Source organism: Homo sapiens, chromosome 7, assembly GCF_000001405.40.
Source record: "Homo sapiens chromosome 7, GRCh38.p14 Primary Assembly".
Lineage (NCBI taxonomy): Eukaryota > Metazoa > Chordata > Mammalia > Primates > Hominidae > Homo > Homo sapiens.
The window spans coordinates 18,988,222-19,006,440 of NC_000007.14; the positions used below are offsets into that span (position 1 = coordinate 18,988,222).

An 18,219-nucleotide genomic window follows, 5' to 3' on the forward strand; every position below is an offset into this window, starting at 1 on the left:
ATACTGCTTTGAATGCTTCCCAGAGATTCGGGTATGTTGTGTCTTTGTTCTCGTTGGTTTCAAAGAACATCTTTATTTCTGCCTTCATTTCGTTATGTACCCAGTAGTCATTCAGGAGCAGGTTGTTCAGTTTCCATGTAGTTGAGCGGTTTTGAGTGAGCTTCTTAATCCTGAGTTCTAGTTTGATTGCACTGTGGTCTGAGAGATAGTTTGTTATAATTTCTGTTCTTTTACATTTGCTGAGGAGAGCTTTACTTCCAAGTATGTGGTCAATTTTGGAATAGGTGTGGTGTGGTGCTGAAAAAAATGTATATTCTGTTGATTTGGGGTGGAGAGTTCTGTAGATGTCTATCAGGTCCGCTTGGTGCAGAGCTGAGTTCAATTCCTGAGTATCCTTGTTTACTTTCTGTCTCATTGATCTGTCTAATGTTGACAGTGGGGTGTTAAAGTCTCCCATTATTAATGTGTGGGAGTCTAAGTCTCTTTGTAGGTCACTCAGGACTTGCTTTATGAATCTGGGTGCCCCTGTATTGGGTGCATATATATTTAGGATAGTTAGCTCTTCTTGTTGAATTGACCCCTTTACCATTATGTAATGGCCTTCTTTGTCTCTTTTGATCTTTGTTGGTTTAAAGTCTCTTTTATCAGAGACTAGGATTGCAACCCCTGCCTTTTTTTGTTTTCCATTTGCTTGGTAGATCTTCCTCCATCCTTTTATTTTGAGCCTATGTGTGTCTCTGCACGTGAGATGGGTTTCCTGAATACGGCACACTGATGGGTCTTGACTCTCTATCCAATTTGCCAGTCTGTGTCTTTTAATTGGAGCATTTAGTCCATTTACATTTAAAGTTAATATTGTTATGTGTGAATTTGATCCTGTCATTATGATGTTAGCTGGTGATTTTGCTCGTTCGTTGATGCAGTTTCTTCCTAGTCTCGATGGTCTTTACATTTTGGCATGATTTTGCAGTGGCTGGTACCGGTTGTTCCTTTCCATGTTTAGCACTTCCTTCAGGAGCTCTTTTAGGGCAGGCCTGGTGGTGACAAAATCTCTCAGCATTTGCTTGTCTGTAAAGTATTTAATTTCTCCTTCACTTATGAAGCTTAGTTTGGCTGGATATGAAATTCTGGGTTGAAAATTCTTTTCTTTAATATTGACCCCCACTGTCTTCTGGCTTGTAGAGTTTCTGCCAAGAGATCCGCTCTTAGTCTGATGGGCTTCCCTTTGAGGGTAACCCGACCTTTCTCTCTGGCTGCCCTTAACATTTTTTCCTTCATTTCAACTTTGGTGAATCTGACAATTATGTGTCTTGGAGTTGCTCTTCTTGAGGAGTATCTTTGTGGCGTTCTCTGTATTTCCTGAATCTGAATGTTGGCCTGCCTTGCTAGATTGGGGAAGTTCTCCTGGATAATATCCTGCAGAGTGTTTTCCAACTTGATTCCATTCTCCCTGTCACTTTCAGGTACACCAATCAGACGTAGATTTGGTCTTTTCACATAGTCCCATATTTCTTGGAGGCTTTGCTCATTTCTTCTTATGCTTTTTTCTCTAAACTTCCCTTCTCGCTTCATTTCATTGATTTCATCTTCCATTGCTGATACCCTTTCTTCCAGTTGATCGCATCGGCTCCTGAGGCTTCTGCATTCTTCACGTAGTTCTTGAGCCTTGGTTTTCAGCTCCATCAGCTCCTTTAAGCACTTCTCTGTGTTGGTTATTCTAGTTATACATTCTTCTAAATTTTTTTCAAAGTTTTCAACTTCTTTGCCTTTCGTTTGAATGTCCTCCCGTAGCTCAGAGTAATTTGATCGTCTGAAGCCTTCTTCTCTCAGCTCATCAAAGTCATTCTCCGTCCAGCTTTGTTCCATTGCTGGTGAGGAACTGAGTTCCTTTGGAGGAGGAGAGGCACTCTGCGTTTTAGAGTTTCCAGTTTTTCTGCTCTGTTTTTTCCCCATCTTTGTGGTTTTATCTACTTTTGGTCTTTGATGATGGTGATGTACAGATGGGTTTCTGGTGTGGATGTCCTTTCTGTTTGTTAGGACAGACAGACAGGACCCTCAGCTGCAGGTCTGTTGGAGTACCTGGCCATGTGAGGTGTCAGTGTGCCCCTGCTGAGGGGTGCCTCCCAGTTAGGCTGCTCGTGGGTCAGGGGTCAGGGACCCACTTGAGGAGGCAGTCTGCCCGTTTTCAGATCTCCAGCTGCGTGCTGGGAGAGCCACTGCTCTCTTCAATGCTGTCAGACAGGGACATTTAAGTCTGCAGAGGTTACTGCTGTCTTTTTGTTTGTCTGTGCCCTGCCCCCAGAGGTGGAGCCTATAGAGGCAGGCAGGCCTCCTTGAGCTGTGGTGGGCTCCACCCAGTTTGAGCTTCCAGGCTGCTTTGTTTACCTAAGCAAGGCTGGGCAATGGCGGGCGCCCCTCCCCCAGCCTGGCTGCCGCCTTGCAGTTTGATCTCAGACTGCTGAGCTAGCAGTCAGCGAGATTCTGTGGGCGTAGGACCCTCCGAGCCATGTGCGGGATATAATCTCCTGGTGCGCCGTTTTTTAAGCCCGTAGGAAAAGCGCAGTATTTGGGTGGGAGTGACCTGATTTTCCAGGTGCCGTCTGTCACCCCTTTGACTAGGAAAGAGAACTCCCTGGCCCCTTGTGCTTCCCAAGTGAGGCAATGTCTCGCCCTGCTTGGGCTCGCGCATGGAGCGCGCACCCACTGACCTGCGCCCACTGTCTGGCACTCCCTAGTGAGATGAACCCGGTACCTCAGATGGAAATGCAGAAATCACCCGTCTTCTGCGTTGCCCATGCTGGGAGCTGTAGACCGGAGCTGTTCCTATTCGGCCATCTTGGCTCCTCTCGATCTTTATTCTTTTGTTGCAAATTCTTATTTTGTTCTTGATTTAAATTATCATACTTGTAAAGAGCACTGAAATCATTCCAACATATGTATATAAACATTTCAAAAAGTATTTATGGGATGTCTAGTATGTATACAAAATGGTATAACATTGGAGGGGGGAGATGAAAAAGAAAAATGAATGAGGAAATGAAAGAACATAAAACAAAATTCACAAAATACGAACTAATATATGAATTAGTTATATATAAAATCAGTTTGTGAATACTGGAAAGATAAAGAAGTCATCAGGCTGGGCACAGTGGCTCATGCCTGTAATCCCAGTGCTTTGGGAGGCCGAGGCGGGCAGATCACGAGGTCAGATCAAGACCATCCTGGCTAACACGGTGAAACCCTGTCTCTACTAAAAATACAAAAAATTAGCCAGGTGTGGTGGCAGGCACCTGTAGTCCCAGCTGCTCAGGAGGCTGAAGCAGGAGAATGGTGTTAACTCAGGAGGCGGAGCTTGCAGTGAGCGGAGATGGTGCCATTGCACTCCAGCCTGGGTGACAGTGAGAGACTCCGTCTCAAAAGAAAAAAAAAAAAAAGAAGTCATCAGTGAGATAAACAGACTTACTTATGACACATACTTATGAAAGTCATTTGATTCTCTGTCTTTTACTTTAGCTTTTGTGGCTTACTAAAATTCAAATCTTTGTCCAAACTGATTAGTTATCAAATAAATGCAAATTTGAATAACAAGAAGGTATTGTTTTACATATATTAGATGGTAAACATTCAATTAGAATATAAGGTCAATGGAGAATGTGAGTTCTATGAGAGCAGGGATGTTTGTCTATTTTGTTCATTGCTATGTTCCTAGTGCCTAGAACAGAACCAGGGCACACAGTACACAGTCAGCAACTTTTTCTAGAATCAATGAAAAATATGAGTAAACTAAGTATTGCTAGCATGGGTGGAGATGTGGGGCTTTAGAGCCTCACTGCTTTGGGAAGATAAACTATGGCAGCCATGCTGCATACTAATTTAGTACCATTTTATATACACAAAATATATGACCTGGTAATTTTGCTCTTGGGAATGTATACCAAAGACATTCTCAGCATAAGTCTTTAGAGTACGTATACTAGGAAGTTCACTACAGCTTTATTCATGGTGAATAGAGAGTTGGAGTCAAGCCCAGTGTCCATTATTGGGAGAATGAATAGTTAAAATGTGGTGGATGCACTGTATGGAGATGCCACGTAGAAGTTACCAGCTTCAAACTAGATAAATATAAGTGCATGACAGATCTAGTAAATACAGTACTGAGTGAGAAAATTATGCACATGTGTATAAAGTTAAAATTTACATAAAATAAAAATATATACCCACAAAACAATAATACACAGCTTTAAAGAACACTTGCAAACAAAATAATGTAACAGGCATTGTATTGCTTGCCTTTCAGGAGGAAGAGGAGTAGAAGTAAGAAATAAGAATTAAATTAAATCAGTAAAATGAGAAAATGTTTTACTACGTAACAGTGTTAATATAAATTAAACAAATGCTATTTTTAAAACCACAAGAAATAAGATTTAAGAGAGAATACAAGAATTTAATTTAATACTACATCTTGTCTCAAGTGAAATTACTTCCTTTTTTTTTTACTTTTGTAAATTATCTTATGGCTGTTGGAGTGAATTGATCCTTCTTTAGGATATGAAATCTTTGATTATCAATGACAGAAAACTATCAGTGTTCACTGTGACATTGACTTGCTGGAGGGAAGCTTATGTCTTTCAATTCGTTAAACCATTATACTAAAATTTATCTTTGCTGGGTTGATTTTATAGTTATCTCCGAACTTACTGTCTTCAGCTCCCTGCATGTCTTTCCTTCCCCCAGCTTGTGTCTTTGTTAATCAAGGTGAAGTAGACATGTATCTAGGGATGGCTGAAGTGGGAAGCCCCCAGATTTTCAGAGCACTGCTTCTCATTCCTCCAAACACAGCCATTAAAGGGTCATCACTCACCAGATATCTTTCTAAATGTTCCATAAAGAAATCATCTTTTTTAAAAATGTAGACATATTTTTTGATTATATGAAGATAATGCCACCTCTACTGAGAGCTAGGGCTATGAGAAGAGAGATACTATAAATTGTCCCAATGGCAGATATAAATAATCCAGTTATTTTACAATTGTTTCACACTTCACAGTGTATAAATCATGTTTTCTTACATTAACTCGTTTCAATTCTCATAACCGTGAGGGCAAGTAAGGGATTATTATTTCTATTTTAAAGATAAAATTGACAATCTAGAGACACTGACTGACTGATTCAAAGTCAAATTTTCGAAAGTAAAACAGCTGGGACTTGAACCCAGAACATCTACCTTGAAATCCAGGATATTTTCCAACTTACTATGCTACTAACACTTCTATGCTGCAAGACGCTGGGGAGAATTGAGGCTAGACATGGTGGCGTACCCCTGTAGTCCCAGCATTTTGGAAGGCTAAAGCAGGAGGATCTCTTGAGCCCAGGAGTTCAAAACCAGCCTGGGCAACATAGCAAGACCCCATCTATAATTATTTTTTTTTTAATTAGCCCAGCATGGTGGCACATGCCTGTAGTCTCAGCTATTCGGGATACTGAGGTAGGAGAATGGCTTGAGCCCGGGAGGTTGAGGCTGCAGTTAGCTGTGACTATGCCACTGCACTCCAGCCTGGGCAACAGAGTGAGACCCTGTCTCAAAAATACATAAATAAATGAAAGAGCGAGAGAGAGAATTGGTTAATTATGCATATGTGTAGATGGTTCAATAGAAGGTGGGCAGCTATAAGTGGTTTATTCCAAAAAAAAGAGGTCAATATAAAATGATTTCAAAGAGAGGAAAAGGCAGAGAAGCATCTGATGGAAAGCTTTCTATTGTACCTGCAAGTTGCCCTGTTTCAACCAAAGAGGCTTAATTTTTGGCAGTGAGTGGGTTGCAGTGTAGACAGCCTACTCACATCCTTTAAGCCTAGGTTGGACATGTGGAGAATTCACAGATCCTCCACCACAGAGACATGTGGATTCCTTACATCTGTGACCTCTGAGACATTTCCCACACGTGACTGTCTCTGGAATTCCAGCCACACTGAATCCTGGATTCGGGGGAAAAGATTATCCTGCTGCAGCTTGAGTTAGAAATTGGAAAAATCGGTCTCCATTAGAATATCCAGTTTGAGTTCTATAACTGTATTATTCACATATTCTCAGATGTAAATAAGGCTATATATTTATGTATGAATTAGTTTCAAAACTTAAATGTCTTCCTTAATTTAAAATCTTTCTTCTTTGAATGCTGATTATTTTTGATAGAAAAGACTTTTCTGAAGTATGACTCATTTATCTTATGTACCACCTCTAAACTCTCTCTCACAACCTCCTTATCCCAGACACTCTAGGACAGGCTATAACTTCTTAAGAAGCAACTTTTTAAATATTCCACACAGACTCTTTTAGAATTTTCTTTTTTGGTAACAATAAATAATGAAGACTTAATGATTATCATTCTTTATTTTTAAAAGGATGCTTTAAAAATTTTTGATTACCCTCCTATGGTTAAAATCTTTCTTTTAATGTTTTAGATTTGTTATACAAATGCTAAGCTACTACTTTATTTGTCAGCACCTTTAGAGATGCATTGAAATCTTGGCTTTTTTTCTTATAAATCTGTAAAATAACATGGCCAAACATTTCATTTGTTTGCATAAACAGCTCTGGTTTAAACATAGCATGTTTTCCTAATATGAAAGTAATTCATTATAGAATCCTGGCAAGTAGGTAAACATTATGAAGAAGAAAATGAAAACCACCCCTCTATTATTCCGCTACCTAGAGAGAAGCATCATCCAAATATTTTTTCCTTCTGGTAGCAAAGGCATAACTCTGCATTTGTGTGGCAACATGAGTTTATGCATGTTAGACAGCAAAGGGACAAATCTAAAGTATTAAGTAATGTCTCATAGTGTTTATTATTTACAGGTCAATTTTACCTCCTTTATTTTTTAACCTTTGCTAATTTTATAAGGAACATCATTTTGTTCATGGTTTACACCTGAAACCAGAGCTTCACAAAAGCGTATTTAAATCAGCAGTTGCAAAATTAACAAATGGCAGAGCTCAGACGCAAACTCAATTCACCCGGCATCTCATATCCCAGTAATCTTCCCATGACAATCCAACTACCTCATGTATTTGGATTCCTCCTACAATTTATTCTTTTGAGTAAATTAAAAGTCATTCTAAAAGTTTGCCTTAAAGCACCCTGAAAGGGTTACTAAATTAAGGTTAAATCTCAAGTATAAATTTTCAAGCAATTAGTTTTGGTTTTGCCTGCGCAGAATACCCTGCAGATGATGCCGAATAAAAACTATTTACACACTACCATAGTGCATTTCTTGTAAAAATATTGGGTCTGTAGCAACAATTTGCTAATCAAATTCAGAATTTGATTTGAAATGCCTCCGGCAGGCAGCCAATCCAGTTATGAAAGAACAGAAGCAAAAACCAGAGCCCTAGTGAGTCTCCTCCAGAAGCTAGCTGGGTCCTTTGCTCTCATTAGCAAACTGGTTCCATAGGAAATCACTGCAGTTGCTCCTAAAATAAAATATCATAGTTAATTTTTTCAATAAATTATTGAACTGTACTAGACACCAAACATGTACATTTTGGAATCTAGAGTTATAAAATATTCTGACATGTTTTAATATAAACAGGAACATTTCCAGTGATTGCTTGGATCGAAAATGTTTTTCCCCTTGACATTTGTTTATACTTCCTAGGAAAGAAATTCTATTTATGGATAACTGAATAACACAAATAAACATCAGAGAGAGCTGAAAAATCAGCTTTGATTATGCATGAAAATCTACAATGTCATTGTGTACTCTTATGCCGTATTCTGATTGCCTGTTTATTTTTACAGAACTGCTGGTGAGCCTATGGAAGAGGAGCCAGCCTTGTGAAGTGCCAAGTCCCCCTCTGATATTTCCTGTGTGTGACATCATTGTGTATCCCCCCACCCCAGTACCCTCAGACATGTCTTGTCTGCTGCCTGGGTGGCACAGATTCAATGGAACATAAACACTGGGCACAAAATTCTGAACAGCAGCTTCACTTGTTCTTTGGATGGACTTGAAAGGGCATTAAAGATTCCTTAAACGTAACCGCTGTGATTCTAGAGTTACAGTAAACCACGATTGGAAGAAACTGCTTCCAGCATGCTTTTAATATGCTGGGTGACCCACTCCTAGACACCAAGTTTGAACTAGAAACATTCAGTACAGCACTAGATATTGTTAATTTCAGAAGCTATGACAGCCAGTGAAATTTTGGGCAAAACCTGAGACATAGTCATTCCTGACATTCTGATCAGCTTTTTTTGGGGTAATTTGTTTTTCAAACAGTCTTAACTTGTTTACAAGATTTGCTTTTAGCTATGAACGGATCGTAATTCCACCCAGAATGTAATGTTTCTTGTTTGTTTGTTTTGTTTTGTTAGGGTTTTTTTCTCAACTTTAACACACAGTTCAACTGTTCCTAGTAAAAGTTCAAGATGGAGGAACTAGCATGAGGCTTTTTTCAGTATCTCGAAGTCCAAATGCCAAAGGAACCTCACACACTGTTTGTAATGGTGCAATATTTTATATCACTTTTTTTTAAACATCCCCAACATCTTTGTGTTCTCACACACAGGCAATTTGCAATGTTGCAATTGTGTTGGAGAATGAAGTCCCCCCACCTCCCAGCCACACACACATCCTTTGTTCTCATGACAGTAGGTCTGAGCAAATGTTCCACCAAGCATTTTCAGTGTCTTTGAAAAGCACGTAACTTTTCAAAGGTGGTCTTAATTTGTTGCATATCTATCAAGGACTTATTCACTCACCTTTCCTTTTCTGCCCTCTATCAATTGATTTCTTCTTACCTTTCATCATTCATTCCTTCCTTTAGAAAAACTGAAGATTACCCATAATCTCCTCTTATTACTTGAGGGCCTTGACTATTTAGTTTATTTTGTTTACTTTACAGGTTAACACAGTTGTTTTGTCTGATTGCATTTTATTAACTGTGAAGCCGTTGAAATGAATATCACTTAAGCAACGTTGCTAAATTTCTATGTGTTTGAAATGTGTTAATGAAGGCACTGCTTATTTGTAGTCACCTTGAACTGACTTAACCTAGAAGCTGTGCCTTCTTGTGAAAAAAAAAAAAAACAAAAACAAAAAACAGCCTTTAAACAAGTTTCCTTAGTGTCAAAAGTTAAAAATAAAGGACATTTATTTCTGAGATAAAAAGTAACTTACTAAATATAAGTAGGTTATCCTCCTACCTCCTAAAATTCGATTTCAACATATAACTCAAACACCTAAACATATTGAGGTAGAATATCTCACAGTATTTAATATCTGACAATGCTTTTGAAAGAGTTGATGTTTCTTTTTATATATTTTTCTAACTCAAAGGATATATTAAAGCCATAAGTGAAGATTGTCATGCTTTTATTCAGAAATCTGAAAGAAACCTTAATTAAAACAAGGTTTTAGGGAAGGCCATGATATGAAAGATATGGAACAATATGGTTTTAGTTAGAGAGGACTCTAACCTGTAAATCAAAGATGAAAGATTTCACTCAAGTAGAATTATATAACTCCCTTTGTTATACAGTCAGACCATATTTTTCATGCATTTGGTTTTTTTAGGATTACCATTTTAATTTTAAAGACTTTTATTACATATACAAAAATGGCTCAATACTTGGTTTAACTTCTTAGAAATTTGAGACACCCTTTGAAATAGGAAATCTGAAATGGAATGTAACTTAGTATTAGGTAAAAATTGCTTTCATTGCGTAAGGGCAAATTCAGTCTAGATTCATAGTAGTAATCAATTTTTTATAAATTTTATTTTCATGAGAAATTCATACCAATCATATTTGCTAGCTTATGTTATTTTGCAGTGATTGCTTGAGGATATTTACTTAAAAAAATAGTAGAGCCAAAGGCTTAACAAAAGACTCTCCCCCATTTTAAAAAGGAAACTCATGTTTTAATTAGAAAAATAATTGTGTAGTTTTAAAATCAACTTCATAATTATAAATCTCTGTCATTACTTTTTAGTCCTCCCAGATATTTTTTTAGTTGTTGAATAAGAAAATAAAACAGTGTAATGCAAACATGCTAATTTACTAAAGTTTCCTACAACAGTTTAGCCACATGTTTATGCCAAGCCATTAATCTGATAAAGCCAAATCACTAGGACATCTCCATGGTTATTTAGATTTAAAACTTGACACATTAATGAGTTAATCACACATACTCCCATATGACACCATACCCAATTGGTTGCACTTAGAGTCTTTAAAATACCTGGAGAAGCAAATGAACTGTGGAGAGGATTATCCACAGCATGTAGTTGTAAGAACAGAATGCCATTGCTTTTTGATTATACCATTACAAGATGGAGCATAGCCCTGAGGGACAGAATGGAGGCTTTCCGAAAATATCAACACTTCTTTTGAAATAGACCAGCACTTTTTGAAAGGGTAGTTTCACTTGGTATAGTTTTTCTTCACTTACCCGTTTAAATTTTATTGCTCGCAGTTGTTCTGAATGAGAGGCTAGAAGAGTATTATCAATTTTGCATCTCCTTGTGATACTTACTTTGAAGGAAAATCACATACGCTCTCTCATGGTCTCATGGTATCTCATACAGGGTGAATAAAAATGATTTTTGATAAATCTACTAGTAAATAATACTAGGAATTTAATAAGCTGTCAAACGTAGGTATAAAAAGAAGGCTTAAAAATTAATTTTCCCAATTGTATAATTTGGGGCTGTATATTAAACTAAAAAACACAGACAGTTTTATTAAATAGTAACCAAAATGGACTCAAATAAAACCAGAGGCTATGTTACCATTGCTTAGTAAATGGAAAGAACATTGTGAGATGAACTATCTTTAAATATTGTAACAAGTTTATAACATCAATAGTGGAGACAGAAGTCAGCTTTGGAGAAAATAGAGATATTTATGAAAAAACTACTACAAATCACATTTCCATTACCAATCCTGGGGATGGAAATATTGCCTTCAGTTTTTACTCCAGCCCTATACGACACTCTCACTAACCTTTCACTGACAACATCATGGCCTTGAAAGCAGGGATCTCCTCCCACAAAGGCTTCAGAAATTACAGGACTGGTCTCTCTTAATAGTTTAGTCCTGCTTTATTTCCAAAGGGCAATTATAAAGCCTCGTGGATTTACTGGGTTTCTTTACAGACTCCATATGGAAGTAAAATAGAATGATCATTTGGAAAGTCTCCTGGGAAAAAATTCCTCTTCAATCAGCATTTTAAAACTTTTTTATTTTTGAGTCAGAGTTTTGCTCTTGGTGCCCAGGCTGGAGTGCAATGGCGCAATCTCGACTCACTGCAACCTCCGCCTCCCGGGTTCAAGCAATTCTCCTGACGAGTAGCTGGGCATGCGCCACCACGTCTGGCTAATTTTTGTATTTTTAGTAGAGACGGGGTTTCTCCATGTTGGTCAGGCTGGTCTCAAACTCCCGACCTCAGGTGATCCGCCCGCCTCGGCCTCCCAAAGTGCTGAAATTACAGGTGTGAGCCACTGCACCCGGCCAAACTTATTGTTTTAATCCCAGCATTTATGTTTAGAAGAATTAATTTAAATATTTCTTACTATTTCTCTGTCGAATGTTTACTCTCATCTTATCTCAATGAAAGAAGTATTAAAAGTCTTATGGCCCCAAAAGAAACAAGCCAAACTGTACTGTCTTAAAAGTGATTCATTCTGAGCTTGAAACGACTCTGTCAGTGTTTGACATTGTCATTTCTAGTGGCATGTATCTTAACATTCTTTTCCTGCTTCAGGAATGAAATCACTTGTCCTGCTGAGAAAATAAGGGGAAAACAAGATAGAAGTAAAAAACAACACACCTGTTGAACTATTTTCATAAAGATGGCGTTTTCACTTTCAAAAGAAATGAAAACCAGATGGTCTATGCTAAGAAGTGAAGGCATTTTGTTGTCTTCAGAACTGATCAACATGGTCATGATCATCATCAAATTTCTTGTTTCCAAAGGCCACTATTGTAGTACAGTCTCCAGCAGGATTTTGTACCATGTGCTGCCTTTGGAATAAAGTATTATAATGTATCTTGTCACCTTCATCAACACCACCATTAAATATGTAAGTTCCTATATGTGACTTTTTCTGGGCATATTTGCATCAAAAATCACAGTCCTTGCCTCCTTGCTTGCTTTTACTCCATGAAACGCTTCATGAAGCAGAGCATGATTGTCAAGTGACCAGAGGATGACATTTGTAAGTGAACGTGGTATACTCACACATGCTATACTCATACTACATAACTTAGTTTCTCCAAATCAACTGCAGTCCGTTTTATCTATGATATTCCTGGCTTCGTATAATGGTTTTGTAAAATACATTAAATACAATTAAGTCCGTTATTACTATGCTGGAAATAACTAGGTCAGACAATGAAACCTTAGACTTTTGATTGGGGCTGTTTGGACTTGATCCAATGATAAGGTAATAAGGTTGTTGCAATTTCTCAAAGCATCTTAATTCTCAAACTGAAACATTTAGCAAATACATGGTGAATCTGGTGTAAACTTACAATCTAACAAATAATTTTCTTTCAACTCTTCTCTTTTTCTGCCTAACAATCTATACGAAATTGCCAATATCTAAGCAATCAAAAGTTTCTGAAATCTCTGTTTCCTTAGTAGAAATGACCTTGACAACTTATTTTCTGAGATACCACTAGGCCTACTGTCTTTCATGCCATTTTATATAAACATTTTGATAGATACTCTGTCTTTTGTTTTTTATCTCTTCTCTTTTCAAGAGTCACTTGACTTTTTCAAATATTCTTAAAAGATAGATTTAGTTATTGTATTTTGGTCTACAATTTTGGACTTGGCAGTTTGTTTTACTAATGCAGAATTATTCTTTTTGTTTCAAACATAGTTTGCCATCATCTGGCTACTACCTAATCATGTTGTACTAGTTATTGTGGAAAGAAAATTGTACATACATTTCCTTGTCCTTTGGGAGATGTCTTTGAGTCAAACCCACAAGCATGAACTCTCACCTGAAAGAAAACTGGAAAAGGAGAAACTTTAAATCAGTATGTTTTGAAAGGAAGAGATTTCCAGACTTTTTAAAGCAAATTGGAATCGTTTTATTTTTTTGTTTGGGCCTTAGGCACAATAGAAGCAAATGTTGCAATATTAAATATAATAGGGAGAGTTCACTGTTTCCTGGGACATTGTGGTCATGTCCTTAATCCTTCATTGTGATGCCCCTTCTTGGAGTTGGCATTTTGTGACAATTCATAGAGATCTTGCAGCAATATTTGGCTATTGGTTTTATTAACTTAAAATTCAACAGAAATGGAGTAATTAAAAAAAAAAACAAAAAACAGAGAAGAATTGCAAAATCTGAAGTGGAATGGCACTTCCTTGGGTATGTAAGGGTTGTTTTTAGATAAAACTCCCGATTTGTTCTTCCTACACTTTAATAGTCTCAAATTCTTTCTGGGGAAGCAACGTCAGTGTCTACCTCCACAGTAACTATGATATAGGAAATTGTCCTTTCAGTGGTTTCTAGGTATAACAAACAAGCCGTTAAAAATGAGTGACCATTTTGTAGGTTACAGCCTCAGCAATCTGTGTCATTTGAAAGCAAATATCCTGATATTTTTAAATAAGGTGAGCAGGGCAGGCAGGAAACCAATATTTAGTACTTTTGTGATTAAACATTCTAGACCAGGCTTGTTGATATGTATGCCAATAGCCTAGAATTTTTGGCTTAGTGTAAAATAAAAATGTCTTTTCTATTGTGGTCTGATATCCGTTTCTGTAATAAGATCAGTTTGTTGTCCTCTGTGCACCAGTGGTTTTGCCCTTAATTTTTTTTGGCTAGCATCACCAAGATCTGTCATCCAGAGCTGCTGAGAAAAATACATGTTGCCAAACTTTTCTTAAAATTGTGCTGCCAGTGGTATTTTCCCAGATGTGAAAAATAATAATCTAATAAAGGATTAATATCTAATAACAATACCATTGTTGAACATGCTCATGGAATGTCCACCTTCTTCTGATTCCTTTTTTGTATTTGAAAATGCAATGGTGTGTTCCAAATTATTGTTGGTGTTGTTAATGTCATGACTCTCCTTTGAATAGAATAAAATAACCCCTTTTGTTTTGTGTTTTCTACTGAATTAGATTTTCCTCTAGTCCTATGTGAATAAAAAGCTATTTGAAATAAAAGTGTTCTTATTTTTCTATGTCCTTGGTGCCTACCATTAGACTCTGGATAGCAGATATTTGACGAATATTTGTTGGATAAATACAATATTATGAAATATGAATTACCACAAAATGTACTATTCCATTTTCAAAAAAAAAGATTTACTTGTGAGTAAATCTCCCTTAAAATAATGTGAAAATTCACAAAAGAAGAAGTAAATTAAAACACAGTTGCTATTTGATTGTAGCTTGATGGTTAGAATAAAGAACAATAATAACTACCACTGATTAAGTACCTTCCATGTGCCTGTCACTCTGCTGAACACTGTACCTGAATGATATTTAACCATCACACGAACCCTGCCTCATAGGTGTTATTAGTCTCATTTAGAGATGAGAACATCAAGCACTGAAAAGGTTAACGCACTGTTACAGTGACAGACGGGATTTGACCCTTATCTGCATGTATCTATCTTTGAAGTCTATCCTCTCCAAATGTATATATGACACATCAAAGATGGCATACTAAAGATATTCTTTGACTAAAAAACTATGATTAACCTTCAGAACAGACTGTATGCTCAGTCTTTGCTAAGTTTTATTAAGTTATTTAAATCGATCTGGTAATTGTGGCTAGATTTGTACAGTAAGTACAAGTTTAAAAATGGTTGTTTCTATTCCTATATCAACAACTTTCTCTAATCTAGCCAAGAACCCTAAGATATCTTTAGAGCACATACTCCAAAAACTGTTTAAATATTCCAAGACCAATACTTATTTTTGTATTTTATAACCCCCTGCAATGTTTAACATTCTAAAATATAACTGTTTCTAATGGACAATGGTTTGGGTTCCTTCTGGGAAAAGATAGTAATATTTTGTCTAACAAAAGGTAAATGAGATGGAGTGGGTGGGTAGACTGAGTTTCAATGGTAAACACCTTTGATTTAATCAGATTTGTCAAATGGCAAATGTTACTTTGTGGTTCTTTGTTTCATTTAAGTTTCCATGGTAAAAAGCGAACAGTTGAAAAAGTGGAGCCTATGTTTAAAAATTAAGAATGAATGTCATATTGTTATTTTAAAAGAGTAGTTTGTAGTTGAAAAAGGAAGCCTAAAGAATATCTTTCACTACTTAACACTTTTGTGGTGCTTTAGGGTTATTGAACCCAAAATATTTCCAAATATTGTAATTACCCCTCAAATTTGTAATATCAATAGGCTATACAAATTCCTATGGTCTTCCAGGTTGACCATAAATAGATAATTCCCCACATGTCCTAATAATTACTTTGGAAAAGACTGACAGCTGTTCTTTCAAATGTCCTACGAAAAGCAAAGTAAGATTCAGGAAAATAGATGAAAAGATGAATGAATTCCTTCTGTAATCTTTAAAAAAAAACTGGAGAAATAAGAGGATTTTTTAAAAGATTGCATTCACCTCAGATCAAATCAAATTTAAAGGTCTTAGTGTATCTAGAAAAGGTATTAACTCCATAATGAAAGCTTATACATTTAAAATATAATATAATCCCATATATATTTTTTCCTAAAAAATATTTTTTTCCAAAAAAGTAAGGTTTAAAAACTTAAGATGTGATAAAGTGAATCAATTTAATGGTATACTAAAAAGTAAATCTTTTAATAAATTATGTATTTATGAAGATTTATTCTTAACCAAATGTGAAGACTTTACATCCATGTAAAATGAGGTGGTTTCTTTTAAGAATGTGTATTTTTAGTGCACAATTTTTATTTTTTCTCCTTTGTTAAACAGGTTTTGTTTTGGTTGTCTTATTTATTCTAAAAATAAAAATATTAATAGCTATTTACCACTTACCCTGTGCTCTTATTTAAATCTCACAACAAACCCATGAGAGGGGTAATTTAATGATGAGTAAATTACAATATAAATACCAGAACAAAGCTCATCTTATTTACTGCTAACCAATTAGTGCATACAATGTAATCAACATTCACTGACGGCCTACAATATGTCACAAGTATTCAGTACTTGTTCTCAGAATAGCATGAAAAATAGCAAGAAAATTGGCAATACATATAAAGGAAATGAAAATTTCATTAAATCTCCATCTGATATAACTACAAAAGAAATATTACCACAAAATAGGTTTGGCTTTAGAATTGTGTGACACTAAGACTTTCTAAAAAATATGACTTCTCTTTTTTCTTCATAGAATTATAATATAGACGCAGAGATACAATAGATTTAAGAAATATGTGTGGTCTAAATTACATATAATTATATTCATGGAAAGATTTGGGCACAGCCCTATCAAGAAAGTAGATATGATAAGAGTATCTGTTCAAGTCCCTTTCATCCCTAAGGTCTACCAGATCAACATTCAATTTAAAAGCATGTAATGTTAAGATGTATAAAGACAGGAGATTAATTTTGTAGAAATCCTTAAAAAAAAAAAAAAACCTTAGAAATTGCTTTCTAAATTCCAGTCATTTGCTTTTCTCCCATTATTTTGTTTTAAAAAAATTAGTTGATTATAATTTCTGGAGAGACACGTCCCCAACAGTCAAATTTGTTAATAACCATTTTGGCTTTACTCCATTGCCCCTTAATAAAGCATAATTTCCAAACTCTTTTACTTTTCAAACACTGATCTTAATAAGCAGTTTTTTTAATTGTTTCATCGGACCCCAAATCCTGACAGACTGTAACACCCTCAATCAGGCAGATTGTACTTAGAGGTGTTCTCTGGGCCATTAATGCTGTGCTACCATTTTGAAGTTTTAGTTTTCCTATTTTAAAATCCAGCCTGTATTTAACCAGATACATTCTGACTTCTTTTTCATGGTTACATAGAGTGCCCTTTCTCCCACTAGACTATTAAATTTAGCTCAGAAGTCCCAAACAACCAAAAACACTGCTTTGCAATTAGTACATATTTATAAAGGATGGCTACAGGCTATAAAGTAGTCATTTCTTGTCACCACTTCTTTTAAGCTCAATGGAAAGTGGATGGAAAAGTATATGGTGCCCCATATAATAATCTGTGTTAAAAAATCAGTGTCCTTGGTGTTGAGATCAAACCAAGTCAGATGTTTACAACTTTAAGAAACAATTTTGGCCAGGCACAGTGGCTTGCACCTGTAATCCCAGCACTTTGGGAGGCCAAGGTGGGTGGATCACCAGGTCAGGAGTTCGAGAACAGCCTGACCAATATGGAGAAACCCCATCTTTACTAAAAATACAAAAAATTAGCCGGGCGTGGTGGTGCATGCCTGTAATCCCAGCTCCTTGGGAGGCTGAGGCAGGAGAATTGCTTGAAACCGGGAGGCAGAGGTTGCAGTGAGCCAAGATCATGCCATTGCACTCGAGCCTGGGCAACAAGAGTGAAACTCCATCTCTAAACCTAGGCATTACCATTCAGGACATAGGCATGGGCAAGGACTTCATGTCTAAACCACCAAAAGCAATGGCAACAAAAGCCAAAATTGACAAATGGGATCTAATTAAACTAAAGAGCTTCTGCACAGCAAAAGAAACTACCATCAGAGTGAACAGGCAACCTACAAAATGGGAGAAAATTTTCACAACCTACTCATCTGACAAAGGGCTAATATCCAGAATCTACAATGAACTCAAACAAATTTACAAGAAAAAAACAAACAACCCCATCAAAAAGTGGGTGAAGGATATGAACAGACACTTCTCAAAAGAAGACATTTATGCAGCCAAAAGACACATGAAAAAATGCTCATCATCACTGGCCATCAGAGAAATGCAAATCAAAACCACAATGAGATACCATCTCACATCAGTTAGACTGGCGATCATTAAAAAGTCAGGAAACAACACGTGCTGGAGAGGATGTGGAGAAATAGGAACACTTTTACACTGTTGGTGGGACTGTAAACTAGTTCAACCATTGTGGAAGTCAGTGTGGCGATTCCTCAGGGATCTAGAACTAGAAATACCATTTGACCCAGCCATCCCATTACTGGGTATATACCCAAAGGACTATAAATCATGCTGCTATAAAGGCACGTGCACACGTATGTTTATTGTG

The 18,219-nt window shown here is 36.6% G+C and overlaps 1 protein-coding gene across 5 annotated transcripts in view, besides 1 other annotated feature; it reads left to right on the forward strand.

The window, feature by feature from the left end:
- HDAC9 (histone deacetylase 9) overlaps nucleotides 1-14,195 on the forward strand; it is a 915,592-nt gene extending 901,397 nt beyond the window's left edge. For all 5 annotated transcript variants that reach the window (NM_001321868.2, NM_178425.4, NM_001321877.2 and 2 more), the window contains one exon: nucleotides 7,802-14,195. In NM_001321868.2, coding sequence (NP_001308797.1) covers nucleotides 7,802-7,841 — 40 coding nt within the window. In that variant the 3' untranslated portion in view covers nucleotides 7,842-14,195. The remainder of the gene's footprint in view (nucleotides 1-7,801) is intronic.
- Nucleotides 1,761-2,262: an enhancer, noted in NCBI's record as "H3K4me1 hESC enhancer chr7:19029605-19030106 (GRCh37/hg19 assembly coordinates)". NCBI's record gives its function as "activates a minimal SCP1, AML or CMV promoter by ChIP-STARR-seq in primed H9 embryonic stem cells {active_cell/tissue: H9 hESC(primed)}" and the evidence as "EXISTENCE:reporter gene assay evidence [ECO:0000049][PMID:30033119]".